Here is a 19,090-nt window from a genome sequence, read left to right as displayed (position 1 = left end):
GGTGAGGCAGAGGCAGAATCAGACCTTATAAAGATGTTTTGAATAGCGGCTGTTCTGGGATCGCAGCCCAGTGACAGTGAATGCTTTCTGAGTTCTCGGATGAGAAGGAACAGAGTGACAGACTGACCATAACTGGCCACTGTGGTGTGTGCTCAGCTCCAGACCAGCACCTTATTTGGTGGGGGGAGAGGGTTCAAGGCCCCAGCGAGACAGTGAGTCCTGGTAGGGAAGGAACTCTGGCCAAGCTGCAGGCTGTGCAGTGGAGTGGGTTAGGAGGGGCCCTCGGGGAGGGAAGAACAAGGAGAGAGGGAAGTGAGAGGAAAGGAGGTTTCTCCTTCATCTAAATCCCAAGTATACACCCTTCTAAGGTCTGTTCTGGCCCTTCCCTAGGGAGTGCCTTCCCCTCTACCTGCCAGGTCCCATAGATAAGGATGTCCTCCCCTGCAGGCGCCTGGCCTCCATCACAGCATGCCCACTCTGTGCCCGCTGCAACCTCCTCTGACTCTCCCACTAGACCGGTGCCTGGTACACATGCTCCTGCGTGCATGAACATCGGTCAGCTATGGGTCCTCAAGATGACAAAACCCCCTGCTCCTGTGTCCTCACGGGGATCTGCACCAGCACTGGGCTGAACACTCTCCCTGCAATCTGTCAGTCACGTCTTCTGTAGCATTTTCTTTCTGGCAACAACGGTTGGGGTCATTAAAAGTGTCTTTGAAATGCAACCTTTTAATTACAGGAGGAATACTGCCCCTGGGAAGGGGCCTTTCTTCAAATGCTCCAGGAATTCCTTGGCCAATACACTCCAGGGGGAACACAGCCCAAAACGGGCCTGTGGCTGTGATCAGACCCAGGCATCCTGTCAAAACAGGAGCCTGGGAAGGGGAAGCTCAGGGAAGGAAAGGGGCTCCTCTTGGGAAGAGCAGGGGTGCTGGAGGAAGAAACCCACCCAGTCCCCTTTGGGCCTAACTTAAGATATGCTCACCGGCTCTCTAGCACGCAGTTTTCCCCAGGAGGTCCCTTGGCCATGACCCAAAGTTAGGAACTAGGGGTCTGCGGACGCCTCCTCCTCCCATATCAGAATATGCTCTCCACCGCCTGCACGGTGGCATTGGCTTTCTGGAGCTTTAGGGCCAGCAGGGGCAGCAACCATCTTCCCACGTGTCTCAGGCTGACTGCACACAGCTCCTCTCTTTGTTTTCAGAAGCCAAAAAGAGCCAGGCAGGCCAAAGCGGGAAAAGGGGGGGCTTCTAGGAAACACCTGGGGTGGCTGGGCAGAGGTGAGATGTGACCCTGGCTAGCCTGAGGGCTCCCTGTGGCTTTCGATGGCCAGCCTGTGATAAAGCCCTGAGAACTCCATCTCCTGTGATTTTCCTGGGGTACTGATTTTCCCCTCCCTGGGAGTCTAGGTGTTTGTTTATAATATCCAAGAATGCTAATTGAGATCAAAGTGACTCTGAAGTTCACCCTGGGGGTGCTGCAGTCTGAAAGGTGTTTTGCAAAGACACGATCTTGGTTAGCCCTTCCCTGGCGCTATGCTGCAGGAAGCTTCTCACAGGGAATAGTCCACACTGTAATCTACCTCAGGCAGGTGTGCTGCTGGGAAACTCAGTTAATGATGTCTAATCTTTAAGAGCCATGGGAAACTCAGGAAGACCTAGCTGGACAGATACTACTCAGACATTTTCTCAAATAAGTGTGGCAGAGCCACTCCTCATCTGGTTCTTCCAGTCTTAGTTACCTGCCGAGCCAGGTGTGGCAGGTGTCAGGTACAGGGATCTGGGAGCTCAGAGAGCAGTAGCAGGAGCTTTAGGCTTCAGTTTTTTCTCCCACTTGATGGCCCCAGACGCCTTGGTGAAGTGAAATGCTCCCTGCCTGGGGCTCCAGGATGCCTTCGAGTGACTGCCTTAAGGTTATTGTGTTTTCTTGTGGCTACGCCAGGATGTTCTGCTTCACCAAGCATTTCCATCCTCAATCGTCATGTCCCTACTGAAACTCTGTGTTCTCTTCTCAAGCAATTTTCTGGTAAAAACATTTTCCTGGCTAGCCTGTAAGCATTGCTGTCTAGCTTTTGTGTTAGCACTGATTCAGATGGCCACTACCCACTCTGTGCAGCAGACTTTCAAGACCAAGCAGACTGATAGGCAGGCAGGAGGGTGGAGTTCTCTACCTGCTGGAATGCCCTGAGGCCCAGAGAAGGGATGGACAGGGCATCAGTGTCTCTCCCGTGTCTCTCTTGCCTTCAACCACTGACTCACCCATGTTGTTTCTCACTTAAGTTAAAACACACAGAGGGGCTGTTCTTAGAGAAAGTCTAACTCGGCTGGGCGTAGTGGCTCACGCTTACAATCCAGCACTTTGGGAGGCCGAGGCAGGCAGGTCATCTGAGGTCAGGAGTTTCAGACCAGCCTGGCCAACATGGTGAAACCCCGTCTCTACTAAAAATACAAAAATTAGCTGGGCATGGTGGCGCACACCTGTAGTCCCAGCTATTCAGGAGGCTGAGGCAGAGAATCGCTTGAACCTGGCAGGCAGAGGTTGCAGTAAGCAGAGATCACCATTGCACTCTAGCCTAGGTAACAAGATCGAAACTGTCTTAAAAAAAAAAAAGTCTAACTCTACTTTTGATCAAATTGTATTCTTGCAAACAATTTTGCAAGAAATTGATTGTCTCATTTTGATGCCATGATGACATTTTGGGAAATGTTTCCAAGTTGTTACAGTTTTCTAGCTGCCAGGACCTGGGTGCTTCCTGTGGCAGACAAAGGGTGACTCCGCGCATAGGGTGCCAAGAGGGAGGGCTCCACTCCATTCTGAACTTTTACACATCAGCCTCCTGCAAGATAAGCTTCCTGGTTTTCATATTACAACATGAACCAAACCGCAGAGGTTATGACTTCTCTGTGTTTTAAGCCCTGCCCACTTCCTGCTCACGTGCCTGGTCTGCAACGACCATTTATTTCAGGATGTGAAGTCAAAAGCAAAGCCCAAACAATAGTGAGCGGCTTCTGAGCCAAGCTCGTCAGCCTGCTAACCCACTCAGAACTGCCCCATCTTCAACATGAACAAGTGCTTCTGGAACAAATACCAGCCAATTTCACACAGTCCAGGCCTTTGACATGAAATACGGATCAGCTCTACATTTATGCACGACAATGTCGATTTGTTATCTGTTGGAGTGATTGTATACCTTCGGTGGTAGAACTGAGGTTCCCAGGGGAGCTATTAAGAAAAAAGCTTTTCTGGCACGGGTGCGGTGGCTCACGCCTGTAATCCCAGCACTTTGGGAGGCCAAGGCTGGTAGATCACCTGAGGTCAGGAGTTCGAGGCCAGCCTGGCCAACATGGTGAAACCCCATCTCTACTAAAAATACAAAAATTAGTTGGGCGTGATGGCGCATGCCTGTAATCCCAGCTACTTGGGAGGCTGAGGCAGGAGAATTGCTTGAACCTGAGAGGCAGAGATTGCAGTGAGCCAAGATCGAGCCACTGCACTCCAGCCTGGGTGACAGAGCAAGACTCCATCTCAAAAAAAAAGAAAGAAAGAAAGAAAGAGTTTTTCTGGCTAGGTGTGGTGGCTTATGCCTGTAGTCTCAGCTACTTGGGAGGCTGAGGTGGGAGGATTGCTTGAGCTGGGGGAGTTTGAGGCTGCAGTGAGCTATCACACCACTGCACTCCAGCATGGGTGACAGAGCAAGACCCTGTCTCGGGGGAGAAAAAAAAATGCAAATGCTTTCCTGACAGAACTAAGAGAGTTTGGAACTAGGGTTCTATAAAGTCAGCCCTGGTGTGGGACTTCTGTTATTACAGAGAGTACAGAAAGTGTCCTAAAAGGACAGCTGGGTGGCTGGGCATGGTGGCTCACATCTGTAATCCCAGCACTTCGGGAGCAGAGGTAGGCGGATCACCTGAGGTCAGGAGTTCGAGACCAGACTGGCCAACATGGTGAAACCCTATCTCTACTAAAAATACAGAATTAGCTTGGCATGGTGGTGCATGCCTGTAATCCCAGCTACTTGGGAGGCTGAGGCAGGAGAATCATTTGAACCCAGGAGGTGGAGGTTGCAGTAAGCTGAGATTGCACCATGGCACTCCAACCTGGCCAAAAAGAGCGAAACTCCATCTCAAAAAAAAAAAAAAAAAAAAAAAAAAAAAAGACAGCTGGCCAAACAGCAATAGGCTGATCATGTGTATTTAGCGCACATGGGCACAGCCCATGGCACCAAGGGGGACATCGAGGTCACAGATGAAAAGACTTGCTCTCATAGTGCTTACAGTTTATGAGCCAACAGCCACGTTAAGCAACAGCCTTCACTGGATATATAATTAGGGGTGGGGTAGACACTTTCTACACCAAAGACAACTCTTTAGGCTCCAGATGGGATTCCGGCTGCTCCTGACTGGTCTCTCTTAGTCCTTCATACATCACACACCGTGGACTCTGAGTTACACGCCACTGGTCTCTCTTCCCAGCTCAGCCACTCACTCCGTGTGTCAGCCGGAGCAGGTCATTCAACCATTCTTTCAGTTTCTTCACCTGTGGAATGGGGATAAATGGACCTATCTCACAAGGACATTGAAAGGATTAATAGAGCGATTGCATGCAAAATGCTGGCACCTAGTGGAGTTGTAATCAGAGTAGAAAGACACTATCATGCGTCTCTGTATTCCCAGATACTGGCTGGCCTGCAGCGAGCCACAGCGTTACCATGGGTGGGCCCGTGGGAAGGGGCAAGCATTGACCTAACTCCTCACATTTCCTTATTTTTCTCTCCCCTCTGTTATATCCTTTCTAAATAGTCATTCCAGGATATACAACTCCCTGCCCCTGAACACTTCTGTGGGGTGGCCTGGCTGAGAGCCCAGATTCCCAGGAGAGCCCTGCACGCAGCCAGCTCTCTGTCGCCCCCCTCTCAGGAGAGGCAGGTGGGCAGACCCTGAAACCTAACAGTCCTGAAACGCGCTGAGCATGTCCACGTTACCACAGCAGCCAGGTCACCTCTCCAGGGTGGCATCTTTTCTGCCTCCATTCTTCTTCTTCCTTACCATTTTTTTTTGGCCCTCCGTGTGTGTGTGTGTGTGTGTGTGTGTGTGTGTGTGTGTGTGTGTGTGTTTTGAGATAGAGTCTTGCTCTGTTGCCCAGGCTGGAGTGCAGTGGCGTGATCTCAGCTCACTGCAACATCTGCCTCCCGGGTTCACAGGATTCTCCTGCCTCAGCCTCCTGAGTAGCTGGGATTACAGGTGCCTGCTACCATGCCCAGCTAATTTTTTGTATTTTTAGTAGAGATGGGGTTTTACTATGTTGGCCAGATGGGTCTTGAACTCCTGACCTCGTGATCTGCCCGTCTCGGCCTCCCAAAGTCCTGGAATTACAGGTGTGAGCCAGCTCATGTGTTTGTTTTATGCATCCAATAAATCATGAGAAGGACAAAAAGACCACTATGGTGGGGAAATAGTGCCTGTCTTCAGTTAGCAGTGAGAGGCCAGCAGGTAGGTCACACAGACATGTGGCACCAGTTTTGAAGGGGGACATGTAACACAAGTCTTTGTTAGCCAGGATAAGTCCTTCTGCTGGCTGTGCCGGGCCTCACCTGCACCAGGAAGCCCTCACAGGGCTCTGGCATCCAGCAGGGTGCTCTGTGCAGGTGTTTTGGAGAGCATCATGGTGGAGGGTGTTCCTCCTTCTGCAGAGGAGAAGGCACTCATTCCCTGTGTCAACCGGAGCAGGTCATTCAACCATTCTTTCAGTTTCTTCACCTTCAGCATGGCAATTAATGGCTCAGAGGAACCTCAGGATAAAGTACCTCCTGATCCTGTCATGCCTGGAGTGATTCCCGTACAAATCAGTTTTTTTTTTTGTTGTTGTTGTTCTTTCTGTTTAGAGACTTGAAACAGAAAAAAAAAATGGCCCAGATATTGTTTTATTCTCTCTGAACTCCTTCAGGTGCAGAACAAACGGAAAGGGTTCCAGCCCCTTTGCTTTCAGTTTTATCTGCACACAGTAATGACATTCTAGAAGGGTTCCTGAGCTGTGCACCATCTGCCCAGGCCAAGAGCAGGACACGCAACTCAGACTTCTGCCTTGGAAGTGTAAAGCCTGCCCGGGAGTGTCCACCAACTTCCAACTACTTAAAAAAATCCTCCATTTTTTATGTCTTTGCCTTATCATCCCTGCTTGTGGATTATAAATTACTCTTTTCTTGAAAGAAATATAAACAGAAATACCCCCTGCTGTAGCTGGCTGAGGCAGAGCCAGTAGAGGGAGCTCAGGGGCGTCATCAATTATTAATCCATGGTATTCAGAGTTTCTAACGTTTGCAAACATTCAAAAATGACCCAGGTCTTACCAAGAGGGAATGAAATTGTCATGAAACATGCCTGAGCCAATGGCCTGACAAAGCAAGTTGATTTCAACATGGGCGTGGGTGGCAATGTGATCCTCAGGAGCCATAAGTCCAATTGCTGAACGTAGATGCACCCATCTCCCACCCCCTCGCCATCTGAGGTGAGCACTTTGTTCCCATAGCCTCAGATCCATCCTTAGTTGTTACTGACCTGTGGGTGAGGTCTTAAAGGCCCTGGTGTGAATTCAGGGAGTTCTTACTGCTAACTGTATTTAAAAGCTGGGACGGAGAGGAGGCCAGGGTGTGTACATGGAGGGGCAAAGAGCATGTTCAAGTAGTCTAAGAGACTTCCTGCCAACTGGTCCCTTGTATTTTACAATAACGTGTGGCTCAAGCACTACAAATAGATTTAGGGAAAATGGTGGTTTTGGTTTTGAGCTATTTCCAAACTCTAGGAAAGACATTTTTCCAATTTAGGGATGTCAAAGAACTCATCTAGCTATAACTATATACTCAGTCCATTGCTCCAGGGATCAGGCATAGTGTGCTGATTTTCCAGCCAAAGTACTAATTCAGAGAACTGGGAAATTGTCTCCTGCTGTGGGAGGCCGTGTTCTGAGCAACACCCAGCTGGCTTACTGGCCTTTCCAGGCATCTAAATGTCCTACAGCCACGTAGATCCTCTTGGAAAAGCCTTTTAAATAATTCCTCAAGAACAGTGCACTTCATTTCTTCACTCTCCCTCACTAACCTGAATCCCATTTGATAGACATAAAAATCCCAGGCAGTCCTGGAATTTGTTTTAAATTTCTTCCACTGTCAGAGTTTGACACATATTTGCTGAATGAATGAATGGTTAAAGCAATGAATCAGAACTATTTATTGATTGCTTATTGTTAAATTTAAGCCCCACAATAGCTCTGTGAAAGGCAGGTATTATTAGTTTTCTCATTTTACAGATAAGGAAACAGTCTGAAAATAAAATGTAAGTACCTTGCCTAAGATCTCAAGTGCAGGCGCAGAAGCCAGGATTCAAAGGCAGGTGTTTCTGACTCCAAAGTCCATGTGCTTTCTGTTACTCAGTTCTGCTAGTTAGGATTCCTCTAACTCTTTCAATCATGGACTCTCATTGGAAAAAAGCCATCCTCCACCTGAGTTATTTTCCTGGTAGATGTAGCATTATACTTTTTAAAAATGCAGTCCCAGCTACTCCGGAGGCTGAGGCAGGAGCATCCCCTGAGCCCAGGAGTTCAAGGCTGCAGTGAGCTATGATTGCCACTGCACTCCAGCCTGAGTAACACAGCAAGACCCCTAAAAAAAAAAAAAAAAAAGCTTATGTGTCTTATGTGTCCAAAGTACTTGCCCTGAAAAACTGTGTACAGTAAACATGGTTTGAAACTTCACTTTCCTCCTTGGAAACCCAGATCACTTAATTATAGCTTCACTGGCATTTACTAACACATTCACCATTGGAAAAATGTTTTCTTGCTTTGCAAAGGACAATCCATGGAAGAGAAGACTCTGAAGCTCAGTTCTCTTCCACCTTGAATTATGCTGAGATGAAAGCAACTTGAGGTAACAGCTTGCTTCTATGTTAATTAACTCCTGTTAATATTTTATGTTTAAGCCATCCTCAAACCGTATTTTCCCTAGGAAATCGGAAGAGTTCTTCATTTGTTTGCATGTTCCTTGGCCTGAAGAAATTAACAACATTTTGAACTATATTATATATGAAGCCATTTTATGTTGTACTGAAAAAAATGCATGATGCAAATACATTTAGACTCTTAGAGCAATAATTCTTAATCTAGTGGATGCATGCTAAATCAAAATTTCAATGGGGTTCTACATGCTTTGGCTAAGCATATCTGATATAACTCAGTTGATTAAAAAATTTAGAAATCATAATATTTATTTTAGTAAAAGAAGATTGGTAGTATCAAAGATAAACAAGCCTGGATACTCGGTAAGGACAGACTTTCATCAGTAATATACTATTATTATTGCAATAGGGAAAAAAGTCCAGTGTGCTCCAAACTCAACTTCAATGTGTACAGAGATGATGGCATTTTAAAGGGAGGATGGGCTGAGTGCAGTGGCTCATACCTGTAATCCCAGCACTTTGGGAGGCTGAGGCAGGCAGATCACGAGTTCAGGAGTTCGAGACCAGCCTGGCCAACATAGTGAAACCCTGTCTCTACTAAAAATACAAAAATTAGCCGGGTATGGTGGCATGCACCTGTGGTCCCAGCTACTTGGGAGGCTGAGGCAGGAGAATCGCTTGAACCCGGGAGGCAGAGGTTGCAGTGAGCTGAGACGGCGCTATTGCACTCCAGCCTGGGTGACAGAGCAAGACTCTGTCTCAGAAAAAAAAAGGGAGGATGAGGGAATAGGGAGTGGGTGAGCAGGGGCTCAAGAGGGTCTGTGAAAAAAATTATAAAATGCAGGAAGTGGGGGTTGGTCCATGTGCAACCCATCTGTTTACTTACTGGTGCTTATGGAAGTTAGGCTCCTACCCTCCCACAGAGGCAGGGAGATGGGGGCCTTGTCTTCAGGTGTTGGCTGGAACCAACAGTAAATTCCCTGGGCAGCCTCGAGTTTTCTCAGGCAGGCATTCTAAGAGGGGCTAGGGCCATCCTAGGGAAGGCCCTTGAGCTGTTAGAAACTATGCTAGCATTTGATCAAGTCTTTTTTTTGAGACAGAGTCTCGCTCTGGCAGTTGCCCAGGCTGGAGTGCAGTGGCATGATCTCAGCTCACTACAACCTCCGCCTCCCAGGTTCAAGCAATTCTCATGCCTTAGCCTCCAAGTAGTTGGGAATACAGGCATGCTCCACCACGCCTGGCTAATTTCTGTATTTTTAGTAGAGACGGGGTTTCACCATGTTGGCCAGGCCGCTCTCAAACTCCTGACCTCAGGTGATCCACCTACCTTGGCCTCCCAAAGTGCTGGGATTAGGGCGTGAGCCACCACACCCGGCCTGATCAAGTCTTTATAGTCCAAGGATAGCACTTAGTTGAGAAGAGGGCTGAGAGGAGCCTGGGTGGAGTTTTGTTAAGGAGAGAATTTTTGTAAGTAGTATTTATCGTTGGTTTGAGTAGGTATTAATGAGCAAAGTATTTTCAAAGTAACTGACAGGAATTTATGTTGTCCTTTTGAGTGTAATAAAGAGGACTAATTATTAATGGGAATCCCTAATCTGACTTTATGATTTGAAAACCTTAAGAAGGGAGCGATATCCTGTTAAATTCATGTTCAGTGCTGAAGAATTTTTTCCAGAAGCTCATACATTATCCAGCAGGCACAAGGACAGCTGAAGTATGTTTAAGGATATGGCACTTCTTTTTAAAAATGAACACAAAGGGATCTGACTAGCCTGCCTTGGCCAGGAGGAGGAGCCCCCTTCTGGCAGGCCTAGCAAAGGAGATGTGGGAACTGGGCATCTTTCCTTCTGGTCAGGATGGGAGTTCTGGCCTTGACTTACGGAGCAATAGGAGTTCTCTATAGGACCAGGAAGATGAATACACAAAACATCAGTAAAAGTAAAATAGAAAAAAGAAGTAGAACTTTTTTTTAAAAAGGGAGGAACTATATATTTGCAGAAATGACATTTTTGAATAACAGAATAACACAGACCAGGTAATTTATAATGAACAGCACTAAATGCCTGCCTCTGGTGAGGGCCTTCTTGCTGTGTCACTCCATGGCCAGAAGGTGGAAGGGCCAAGAGATGAAAGGGGGCTGACCCTGCCCTTTTATAATGGCAGTAATGCCGCCCATGAGGGTGCAGCCCTCATGGCCTGATCACCTCTTAAAGGTCCCACCTCTCAACATTGTTACGATGCCAACTAAATTTCAAATGAATTTTGGCGAAGACAAACATTCAAACCATAGGACTAAGTAAATAAAAACCATATCTGTATAGTCAAATAGGATTAAAGTAGACCTAAAAATGGCATTGTGTTTGGCAATATGACTTACCGTGGAGAATGACTGGGAACTGTCAATTCAGAGTAACATGACTTGCTTTGCTACAGCAGTGAAATTTCTGGGATCCTAGCCTCTTGTATCTAAAGTAAGCAAGCAAAATATCATCAGCAACTTAGTATGAATATATAGTTTTTTTCTGCTGAAATACTCATGCCAATTAATACTTACAGTTGTTGAATAACTATCAAGCCAACTCTGTACAACTTTCAAATAAATCTACGTTGCAATTATATGTCATCTGTTTAAAAGGATAAAATATTGATATTTTTAGTCATTTATGTAGGTGTGTGTTATGACTAAAATGATTCAATACACTACTGTGCTCCAAATAGGTTTTATGTTGTACCTCTTGCTCAAGTAAAATGAAAAAATTTAAAACAATTATGCAAATTTGGTTTTAAATATTCATCTCAAATATTTTATATTTTATTCCCCTTAAATGTGTTTTAAACAGATTTAATCACATTGGGTACTGTACTAAGTGTACTACAAAGATTACAGTGATCCTGCCCTTGATATCATACCTACAAGTGAATATTCTAAGATAGTCCCTGGAAAGGAAGACATAAAGACAGTCCTACAGAATCCAGAATAGGTATCAGAATTAAAATAGACCAGCCATGGAAGAAAGAATCAAAGGGTGAGAGACAAGGACAAGTTCACATGCATGGTGCTCTTTGAGAGAGCAGGGATGAGTGTTCTTTGCTCCAGAAATGTAGACAAAACGCCCACAAGCTATATTCTCATTAGCCTGGGATGTCTCCAGCTGACATTGACAGTGGGATCATGTAATATGAATTGTGTGTGGCGACCGGAAGTCAATGGCTAAGGGAGCTAAGAGGCTGCTTGGGGACCCTAATGGGTTTGGAGGGTAGAAAGAACATATGCTTTGGAATCCAGAGAACTGGGTTAGAATTTCTTTTCCAGCCCCAATTTGGTGGGTGCGCTGTATTGCAACTTTGCTGACCTGAGTCTCAGTTTCCTCGTCCTGAAAGAGGGGGTGATGCCTATTTTGTTGAGTTGATTTGAGCCATAAATAAGGTAAGGACTGGTAAGTGACACAGAACAGGGCCTCATTAGAAATGAGTCCCCTTCCCTCTCCTTCTCTTTCTCCATTGTTCTGATGCCAACTGTAGTTGCTACACACTTTTCCTAAAGGGTATGGTGTAGTTTTGTTGATAGAGTGGGAGCAATTGCTGAACAGACATGAAGTGCTAAACATTAACACTGATGGGCTGAGCCTTATCTTGTCCAGAAGGGAAGCAACATGGTAATTACATGTTACCTAGATGGTACTTTCTGTTCCACAATTGAGCCCCCGTCTGCCTCTGAATGTAGACTTTGGGTGGGAGGTGGGGAAGAAGGCTGCCCTCTGGGACTCGCAGTTTTAGCAACCATGCCAAAACAAGCCATGCACCTGTGTTCCCTGTAGGTTTTAAAAAGAAACATTTAGTTACATATTCTGAATTAAGAGAGATGGTGGCAACCCAGGTGGAGAAAAGGGTATTTAAGCACAGCAGAGTCCCCACCATGGGGCTGTGAGCCTGTGGCAGACAGCAAGAGAGACACCGAAGATAGGCTTCCGCACCTCTCCAGCCGGTGGGAACAGTCAGTGCCAGCGGAGGCTTTATCTCTTCTTGCCTCAGTCCAGCCTGTGGCAGCTCAGTAACTGGAACAAGAGCGTTTACTACCTTCTGACCTTTAGGAGAACATATATGACACAGTTTCATGATGAACACATTCATTTACTTAATGGGGAGAGATACAAGGAGAAATTAAATATACTTCCTGCCTGGGAGGAGTGCAGATGCCCATAACATGGGAAGGCAGTGACAGATGTATGTGGGGACTGCCCTAGGAAGTTTTGCTGGGGATGAGCAAGAACAGGCCACTCTCAAAAGAAGGGGGAGGCATTCCAAGCAACAAGAGAGGAAAAGGCTTATCTGAGGACTCATCAGAAATTTGGTAGAACTGAGGGTGGAGGGGGTGGGAAAGAGAAGGCAGGTGCTGGAAAGAGAAGAGGATGTTGAGCCTACCAGAAATCCATTAGGGTGAGTTTTTGAAGGCCTTGTCTGTGTCATGTTACTAAGTTTGATTTTTTTTTCCTGCAGATAAATATTTCAGGACTCTCTACCTATCCAAACGCATTTTAGGCGAATTTTAAAAAACAGTTATTAATTAGCAAACATTAAAATAAATGTGAATAATAATCACTTCCTGAACAGTCCAAGGACCTTTAAGTTTTAAGATTAATCCAGCGGGTTAGATTTTTCAGTTAGAGTAGCATGGAAGAAAAGACGAAGTTACGTCTTTTATGTTGAAGTGTGCACTACAGGATGATTCAAAGGATTTAGGCGGTTAGAGAAAAAACAACAAACGCATTAAAACATTATTGACACATCTGCTACTGAAAACACTCTTTCATCTATTTATAGTTGACTAAAAATGGTGACTTAACGAACTTGAAATAAAATGATTACACTAAGGGTTATGATTGCCTGATATGTTCTAACAGGTATATAGCATTTAATCCTCACAATTACCTAGTGTACCTTGTGCAGAATGGGTACACTTTTTTGTTTTTTTTTTTTTGAGACAGAGTTTCACTCTTGTCGTCCAGACTGGAGTGCAGTGGAGGGATCTTGGCTCACTGCAACCTCTGCTTCCCGGGTTCAAGCAATTCTCCTGCTTCAGTCTCCCAAGTAGCTGGGATTACAGGCATGTACCACCACGCCTGGCTAATTTTTGTATTTTTAGTAGAGACGGGGTTTCGCCATGTTAGCCAGGCTGGCCAAACTCCTGACCTCAAGTGATCTGCCTGCTTTGGCCTCCCAAAGTGCTGGGATTACAGGTGTGAGCCACCGCACCTGGCCAGAATGGGTACTTTTTATCCCCATTTTACAGATGAGGAAATCAGGACCTGGATAACTTGCTGGATAAGGGCTGAGTGGCAGCCCTGGAGCTTCAGACACTGCATTCCTGGCCCAGTGTCACTTCCATGGTCACTCTATGCCCTTTAGTTGAGGTAGGAGGATCTTTTGATAGATCGAATGATATTGACATCATTCTCATAGTTTTTTCCTATTATGAGCTGTTACTCCACCCCAGCCAGGCTGGTCTTCACTAATTTCTCCTTGTACTGAGTGTTGGATCAATCTTAGAATTGTCTCCCTCCTTCTCTCCACCTAATCAATCGATCACCAAATCAATCAATTAATTCAACAAATAGTCACCTATTATGTGCCAAGAACTATCAACAAAAGCAACATAGACCTGGTTTCACTAGAATTATAATCTAGTAAATTCTGGTACTGAATTCTGTTCCTCTTTCTGGCTGGCAATAAGTAACGTAAATCAAGGTTGCATGTGCTTATGCATCTGACCGTCTTGCTAACGCAGGTGCCTGCTCTAGAACCTATGATGAGAACATATGCTTTGGAGTCCGGAAAAACTTGGTTTGAAGCACAGCTTGCCACACACTGTGTGATCTTTCTGATTCTCAGTGTCCTCATTCAGTTTAAATGTCCTTTACCCTTAGTTTTAATTCTTTATTATTATTTTTTAAAAAGTAAATTTCCTTAGAAGTTTTCAGAATACATTAATTCTACAGCCAGTAAAGAAATAGTTTTCCAAAACAAGAGAGCACACTTTGCCAGAGCAGTTAATCTCATGATGCTCTGGCCAGAGAGGAGGAGAAGGCTGTATGGTGGCAGCCACTCCCATCCCTGACAGCCCCCTCTCCCTACCCCCCTACCTCTTGGCCAGTCTCTTCAGCCTGGCCAGCAGGTATGGACTCTTATTAATCTAAGGCTCAACATATCATCAGTCCTTTGGGAAGACACTCGGGTGCTGCACAAGCTTCAGAACAGCTTTCTAGTATTCCTTTCTATAAATCAAGTAAGTGGTTTAAAGCCTCAGATAGGAAACCGTGAAGGAAAATAAATCATTACGGTCACCATGACCTATCTTTTCGCCAGAGGTTCTCCAACTGGAGCCTGCTTCTATCAGAATCCTCTGGAGAGCTGGATGGCTGAGCCCACCCCAAGCTTCAAGCTTCAGGAGCGGACCTGAGAAGCTGCATTTCTTTCTTTCTTTTTCTTCCTTTCTTTCAGATGGAGTTTTGCTCTATCGCCTAGGCTGGAGTGCAGCAGCACAATCTCGGCTCACTGCAACCTCCGCCTCCTGGGTTTAGGTGATTCTTCTGCCTCAGCCTCCTGAGTAGCTGGGATTACAGGCATGCACCACCATGCCCAGCTAATTTTTGTATTTTTATTAGAGATGGGGTTTTGTCATGTTGGCCAGGCTGGTCTTGAACTTCTGACCTTAAGTGATCCGCCCACTTCGGCCTCCCAAAGTGCTGGGATTACAGGCATGACGCACCGCACCCAGCCAGAAGCTGCATTTCTAACAAGCCCCCAGGAGAAGCTCTGCTGCTGAGCAGGGACCATACCTTGAGAACTCCTGCACTTTGCTAGTTGGTTTGGGAGACAATGGAATCACACTGCCTTGGATAAGTCTGGGGAAGTATTAACCTCCCCATACCTCCTCAGTTTCTTCAGCTATAAGATCACCTACCTGGGACAGCTTTTATGAGGGTAAATCAGTTAGAACACAGGGAGCACTTTGAGCAACAGCTGGGGGCGAAGTAAAAACTGAACAAAGATTATTTATCATTATTATTACCTCATATCCTGCTGCTGTTTTCCCTCTATCAACAAGTCATTAAAGCACACATATCCCACATCTTCTAAGTTCCTCCACTGAAGCAGTATACTTGCTCCATCTATTCAAATAGTTTCCCCTTCTAATTTATGTATTAACAAATAAATGTTTAATATTGAGAATGTTTAAATAGGCTTGGGCATCGTGGCTCATGCCTGTAAGCCCAGTGTGTCCAGAATTGGTGGGTTCTTGGTCTCACTGACTTCAAGAATGAAGCCGCGGACCCTCACGGTGAGTGTTACAGTTCTTAAAGGTGGCGTGTCCAGAATTTGTTCCTTCGGATGTTCAGATGTGTTCAGACTTTTCTTCCTTCTGGTGGGTTTGTGGTCTCACTGGCTCAGGAGTGAAGCTGCAGACCTTCACAGTGAGTGTCACAACTCATAAACGCAATGCAGATGCAGAGTGAGCAGCAGCAAGACTTACTGCAAACAGCAAAAGAACAAAGTTTCCACAAAGTGGAAAGACACCTGAGCATCTTGCCACTGCTGGCTTGGGCAGCCTGCTTTTATTCCCTTATCTGGCCCCACCCACATCCTGCTGATTGGTCCATTTTACAGAGAGCTGATTGGTCTGTTTTGACAGGGTGCTGATTGGTATGTTTACAATCCCTGAGCTAGACACAAAAGTTCTCAAAGTCCCCACTAGATTAACTAGACACAGAGCACTGATTGGTGCATTCACAAACCCTGAGCTAGACACAGGGTGCTGATTGGTGCATTTACAAACCTTGAGCTGGACACAGAGTGCTGATTGGTGTATTTACAATCCCTTAGCTAGACATAAAGGTTCTCCAAGTCCCTGCTAGATTAGCTAGACACAGAGCACTGATTGGTGCACTTACAAACCTTGAGCTAGACACAGGGGGCTGATTGGTGTGTTCACAAACCCTGAGCAAGACACAGAGTGCTGACTGGTGTATTTACAATCCCTTAGCTAGACATAAAGTTTCTCCAAGTCCCCACCAGATTAGCTAGATACACAGTGCTGATTGGTGCATTTACAAACCTTGAGCTAGACACAGAGTGCTGATTGGTGTATTTACAATCCCTTAGCTAGACATAAAGGTTCTCCAAGTCCCCGCTAGACCCAGGAGCCCAGCTGGCTTCACCTAGTGGATCCTGCATCAGGGAGCCCGCCAGTCCCACGACCTGTGCCCACACTACTCCTCAGCCCTTGGGCGGTCGGAATGGGACCGGGCGCGTGGAGCAGGGGGCAGCGCTCATCTGGGAGGCTCAGGCCGCTCAGGAGCCCATGGTGTGGGGGAGGCTCAGGCATGGCAGGCTGCAGGTCCCCAGCCTTTCCCTGCGGGGAGGCAGCTGAGGTCCAGCGAGAATTCCAGCACAGCGCTGGTGGGCCAGGCCGGCACTGCTGGGAGACCCAGCGCATCCTCCGCAGCTGCTGGCCTGGGTACTAAGCCCCTCACTGCCTGGGGCCTGCGGAACCGGCCAGCCGCTCCGAGTGCGGGGCCTGCCGAGCCCACGCCCACCTGGAACTTGCACTGGCCTGCAAGCCCAGTGCTCAGCCCTGGTTCCCACCCACGCCTGTCCCTCCACACCTCCCCGCAAGGTGAGGGAGCCCGCTCCGGCCTCGGCCAGCCCAGAGAGGGGCTCCCACAGTGCAGTGGCAGGCTGAAGGGCTCCTCAAGAGCGGCCAGAGTGGGCGCCGAGGCCGAGGAGGTGCAGAGAGTGAGCGAGGGCTGCTAGGGCTGCCAGCACGCTGTCACCTCTCACCAGCACTTTGGGAGGCCGAGGTGGGTAGATCACTTGCAGTCAGGAGTTGGAGACTAGCCTGGCCAACACGGCCAAACCCCATCTCTTCTAAAAATACAAAAATTAGCTGGGCATGGTGGCGTGCACCTGTAATCCCAGCTACTCGGGGCTGAGGTGAGAAGATTGCTTGAACCCAGGAGGCACAGGCAGTAGTGACCCAAGATCGTGTCATTGCGCTCCAGCCTGGGTGACAGAGGGAGACACCATCTCAAAAAAAAAAAAAAAAAAAAAAAAGAGGATAAGTGCTGCAAACATACATATAGTATGTAGAAGAAGTTTCAAATAATTTTTAAATTGCTATTGAGATGGACATAATGCATCATGTTAATTGTGAGCTCCATTTCTGTGTGAATAGAAACCATATCAAACATCATCAGTAGAAATGTGTTTTTATCGGACAGCTTTTGAGGTACCTCTACCTTATGAATAAAGGCTTTCTGCAGTTTGCAGCATACAGAAGTTTGTTCCTTATGTAACAGTACCAAAAGAATCCAACTGGATCTCACGCCACGTGAAACTTTACCTACACGTCTTTCCTGAAAGAGATGTTTCAATCCTGGGAACCGAGATCCTCTGGAGACCAGAGCCAAATAACTGCCACATTGGAATGCATTCCGCTGGGGGTTCCTGTATTTTATATATGAAAGCTTCCTGGCCGCATGTGTGTTTTGGTTGGCTTTAGTGGCAGGACTGAAGGGTTTTGCTTTGCTTTTGTTATGTGAATGGGGAAAGGGGCTTTGCCACTCATGGCCTCATTAACAACAATGGTGCCAAGATGCGGACTTTTAAGTGACTTTTACTTTATAGATTCTGAAAACCCACAACTTGCTAGTTGTGAGTGACAAGCATCTTTCTGAGAACTTTCTGAAAATTCCCCACTTCCAAGTTTACACAGCCTTTAGTAGACTTAAAAAAGAAGAGAAAAATACCAAACAGTTCCTTTGTTGAGAAAGCAGCCTACATATAGATCTGATTGTTCATGGTATGTTTGAGTCCACGAAGTAGAAATGAACAAAAATTATTGCTTAGTTTTCCTGATGTCAAATCAGTTTTGTTTTAAAAATGTCATTAGTAATTTATTAGGTAAAATGTTAGCTAAGCTAACTCTAGTTAATTTACAAAGTTTTGGCTTCATTTTGTTATGATGAGACTTTATAAACCTGATCTTTAAAATAAGGTTCTTAAAATTTTTAAAAATTTATTTTATTTATTTTTTGAGACAGAGTTTCGCTCTTCTTGCCCAGGCTGAGTGGCAGTGGCATGATCTCAGCTCATTGCAACCTTCACCTCCCAGGTTCAAGCGATTCTTCTGCTTCAGCCTCCCGAGTAGCTGGGACTACAGGTGCTCGCCACCGTGCCCAGCTAATTTTTGTATTTTTTTAGTAGAGATGGGGTTTCACCATGTTGGCCAAGTTGGTCTCGAACTCCTGCTCAGGTGATCCAACCGCCTCGGCTTCCCAAAGTGCTGGGATTATAGGCGTGAGCCACGGCGCCTGGCCAGGTGTTTTTTTTTTTTTTTTTGAAACGAATCTTCTTCTATTTCACAAGTGGAAATCATCCAGGAAATGTGCACCTCAAGGGAAATCCAGTGAAATCTTGATTCTGGGTAGAACATATGAGAAAAGAATAGTGTAGCACTCACTGCTTGGCTATTTGGGATAGGATCTGTCTTAGGTCCCCATAAGCGCTTTTATTTCTGTGTAATTTACTGCAAAACTCTATGAGGTAGGACTAATATTATCTTATGTCAAGGGTTAAGACAATTGAGACTTGGGGGTTTGTCAAAAATAAAAGATTTTCTGACTTTGGAGTGCGATGTGCATTTCTGTTGCACAGATCTCCACCAAGGGCAAATTCGATGGCAATGACAATTTGATGTCAGAACTTCTCAGGAAAGGCTCTGATGAACTCATTCACACTGCATGTGAATGACTGAGAAAACTCGATGTATTTTCACTTTTTTTTTTTTAAGAAGTAAACCTGGGTGTTTTGTAGTTCTATGAGAAAATGAAAGCTGAAGCTAGGCTATAGATGAAAAGTTCTATTCATTATTACAATTTAATAATGCTTCCAAAATAGCAATTCACTTAAATATACCTAGTTAGGGTGTTAAGAAATACTTTGATTAAAACCACACTGCAAAATAGGGAACTTCAATGGACTGCTTTAAACTCTCGACCTCAAAGGAAGGAAATCAACTAACCGATAATGAAAACTAGCAGAAAAAAAAAAGCTTAGGATCCGTAACAGATTCGGAGTCAACAATG

General features: G+C 45.9%; 8 annotated features.

The window, feature by feature from the left end:
• Window positions 134-693: an enhancer, noted in NCBI's record as "NANOG-H3K27ac-H3K4me1 hESC enhancer chr1:225634975-225635534 (GRCh37/hg19 assembly coordinates)". NCBI's record gives its function as "activates a minimal SCP1, AML or CMV promoter by ChIP-STARR-seq in naive H9 embryonic stem cells {active_cell/tissue: H9 hESC(naive)}" and the evidence as "EXISTENCE:reporter gene assay evidence [ECO:0000049][PMID:30033119]".
• Window positions 694-1,254: an enhancer, noted in NCBI's record as "NANOG-H3K27ac-H3K4me1 hESC enhancer chr1:225634414-225634974 (GRCh37/hg19 assembly coordinates)". NCBI's record gives its function as "activates a minimal SCP1, AML or CMV promoter by ChIP-STARR-seq in naive H9 embryonic stem cells {active_cell/tissue: H9 hESC(naive)}" and the evidence as "EXISTENCE:reporter gene assay evidence [ECO:0000049][PMID:30033119]".
• Window positions 1,255-1,815: an enhancer, noted in NCBI's record as "NANOG-H3K27ac-H3K4me1 hESC enhancer chr1:225633853-225634413 (GRCh37/hg19 assembly coordinates)". NCBI's record gives its function as "activates a minimal SCP1, AML or CMV promoter by ChIP-STARR-seq in naive H9 embryonic stem cells {active_cell/tissue: H9 hESC(naive)}" and the evidence as "EXISTENCE:reporter gene assay evidence [ECO:0000049][PMID:30033119]".
• Window positions 2,617-3,156: a transcriptional cis regulatory region, noted in NCBI's record as "candidate enhancer chr1.11936 targeted for multiplex CRISPR interference". NCBI's record gives its function as "positively regulates LBR gene expression with high confidence in K562 cells {active_cell/tissue: K562}" and the evidence as "EXISTENCE:mutant phenotype evidence [ECO:0000015][PMID:30612741]".
• Window positions 2,711-2,760: an enhancer, noted in NCBI's record as "active region_2623". NCBI's record gives its function as "activates an Ori minimal core promoter by ATAC-STARR-seq in GM12878 lymphoblastoid cells {active_cell/tissue: GM12878}" and the evidence as "EXISTENCE:reporter gene assay evidence [ECO:0000049][PMID:35858748]".
• Window positions 3,261-3,330: an enhancer, noted in NCBI's record as "active region_2622". NCBI's record gives its function as "activates an Ori minimal core promoter by ATAC-STARR-seq in GM12878 lymphoblastoid cells {active_cell/tissue: GM12878}" and the evidence as "EXISTENCE:reporter gene assay evidence [ECO:0000049][PMID:35858748]".
• Window positions 11,757-11,916: an enhancer, noted in NCBI's record as "active region_2621". NCBI's record gives its function as "activates an Ori minimal core promoter by ATAC-STARR-seq in GM12878 lymphoblastoid cells {active_cell/tissue: GM12878}" and the evidence as "EXISTENCE:reporter gene assay evidence [ECO:0000049][PMID:35858748]".
• Window positions 11,987-12,036: an enhancer, noted in NCBI's record as "active region_2620". NCBI's record gives its function as "activates an Ori minimal core promoter by ATAC-STARR-seq in GM12878 lymphoblastoid cells {active_cell/tissue: GM12878}" and the evidence as "EXISTENCE:reporter gene assay evidence [ECO:0000049][PMID:35858748]".

The sequence above is a fragment of the Homo sapiens genome, chromosome 1 (genome assembly GCF_000001405.40).
Source record: "Homo sapiens chromosome 1, GRCh38.p14 Primary Assembly".
In the NCBI taxonomy this organism is placed as follows: Eukaryota; Metazoa; Chordata; class Mammalia; order Primates; family Hominidae; genus Homo; species Homo sapiens.
Note: the sequence above shows the minus strand (reverse complement) of the source record. Positions and strands in the feature narration are given on the sequence as shown.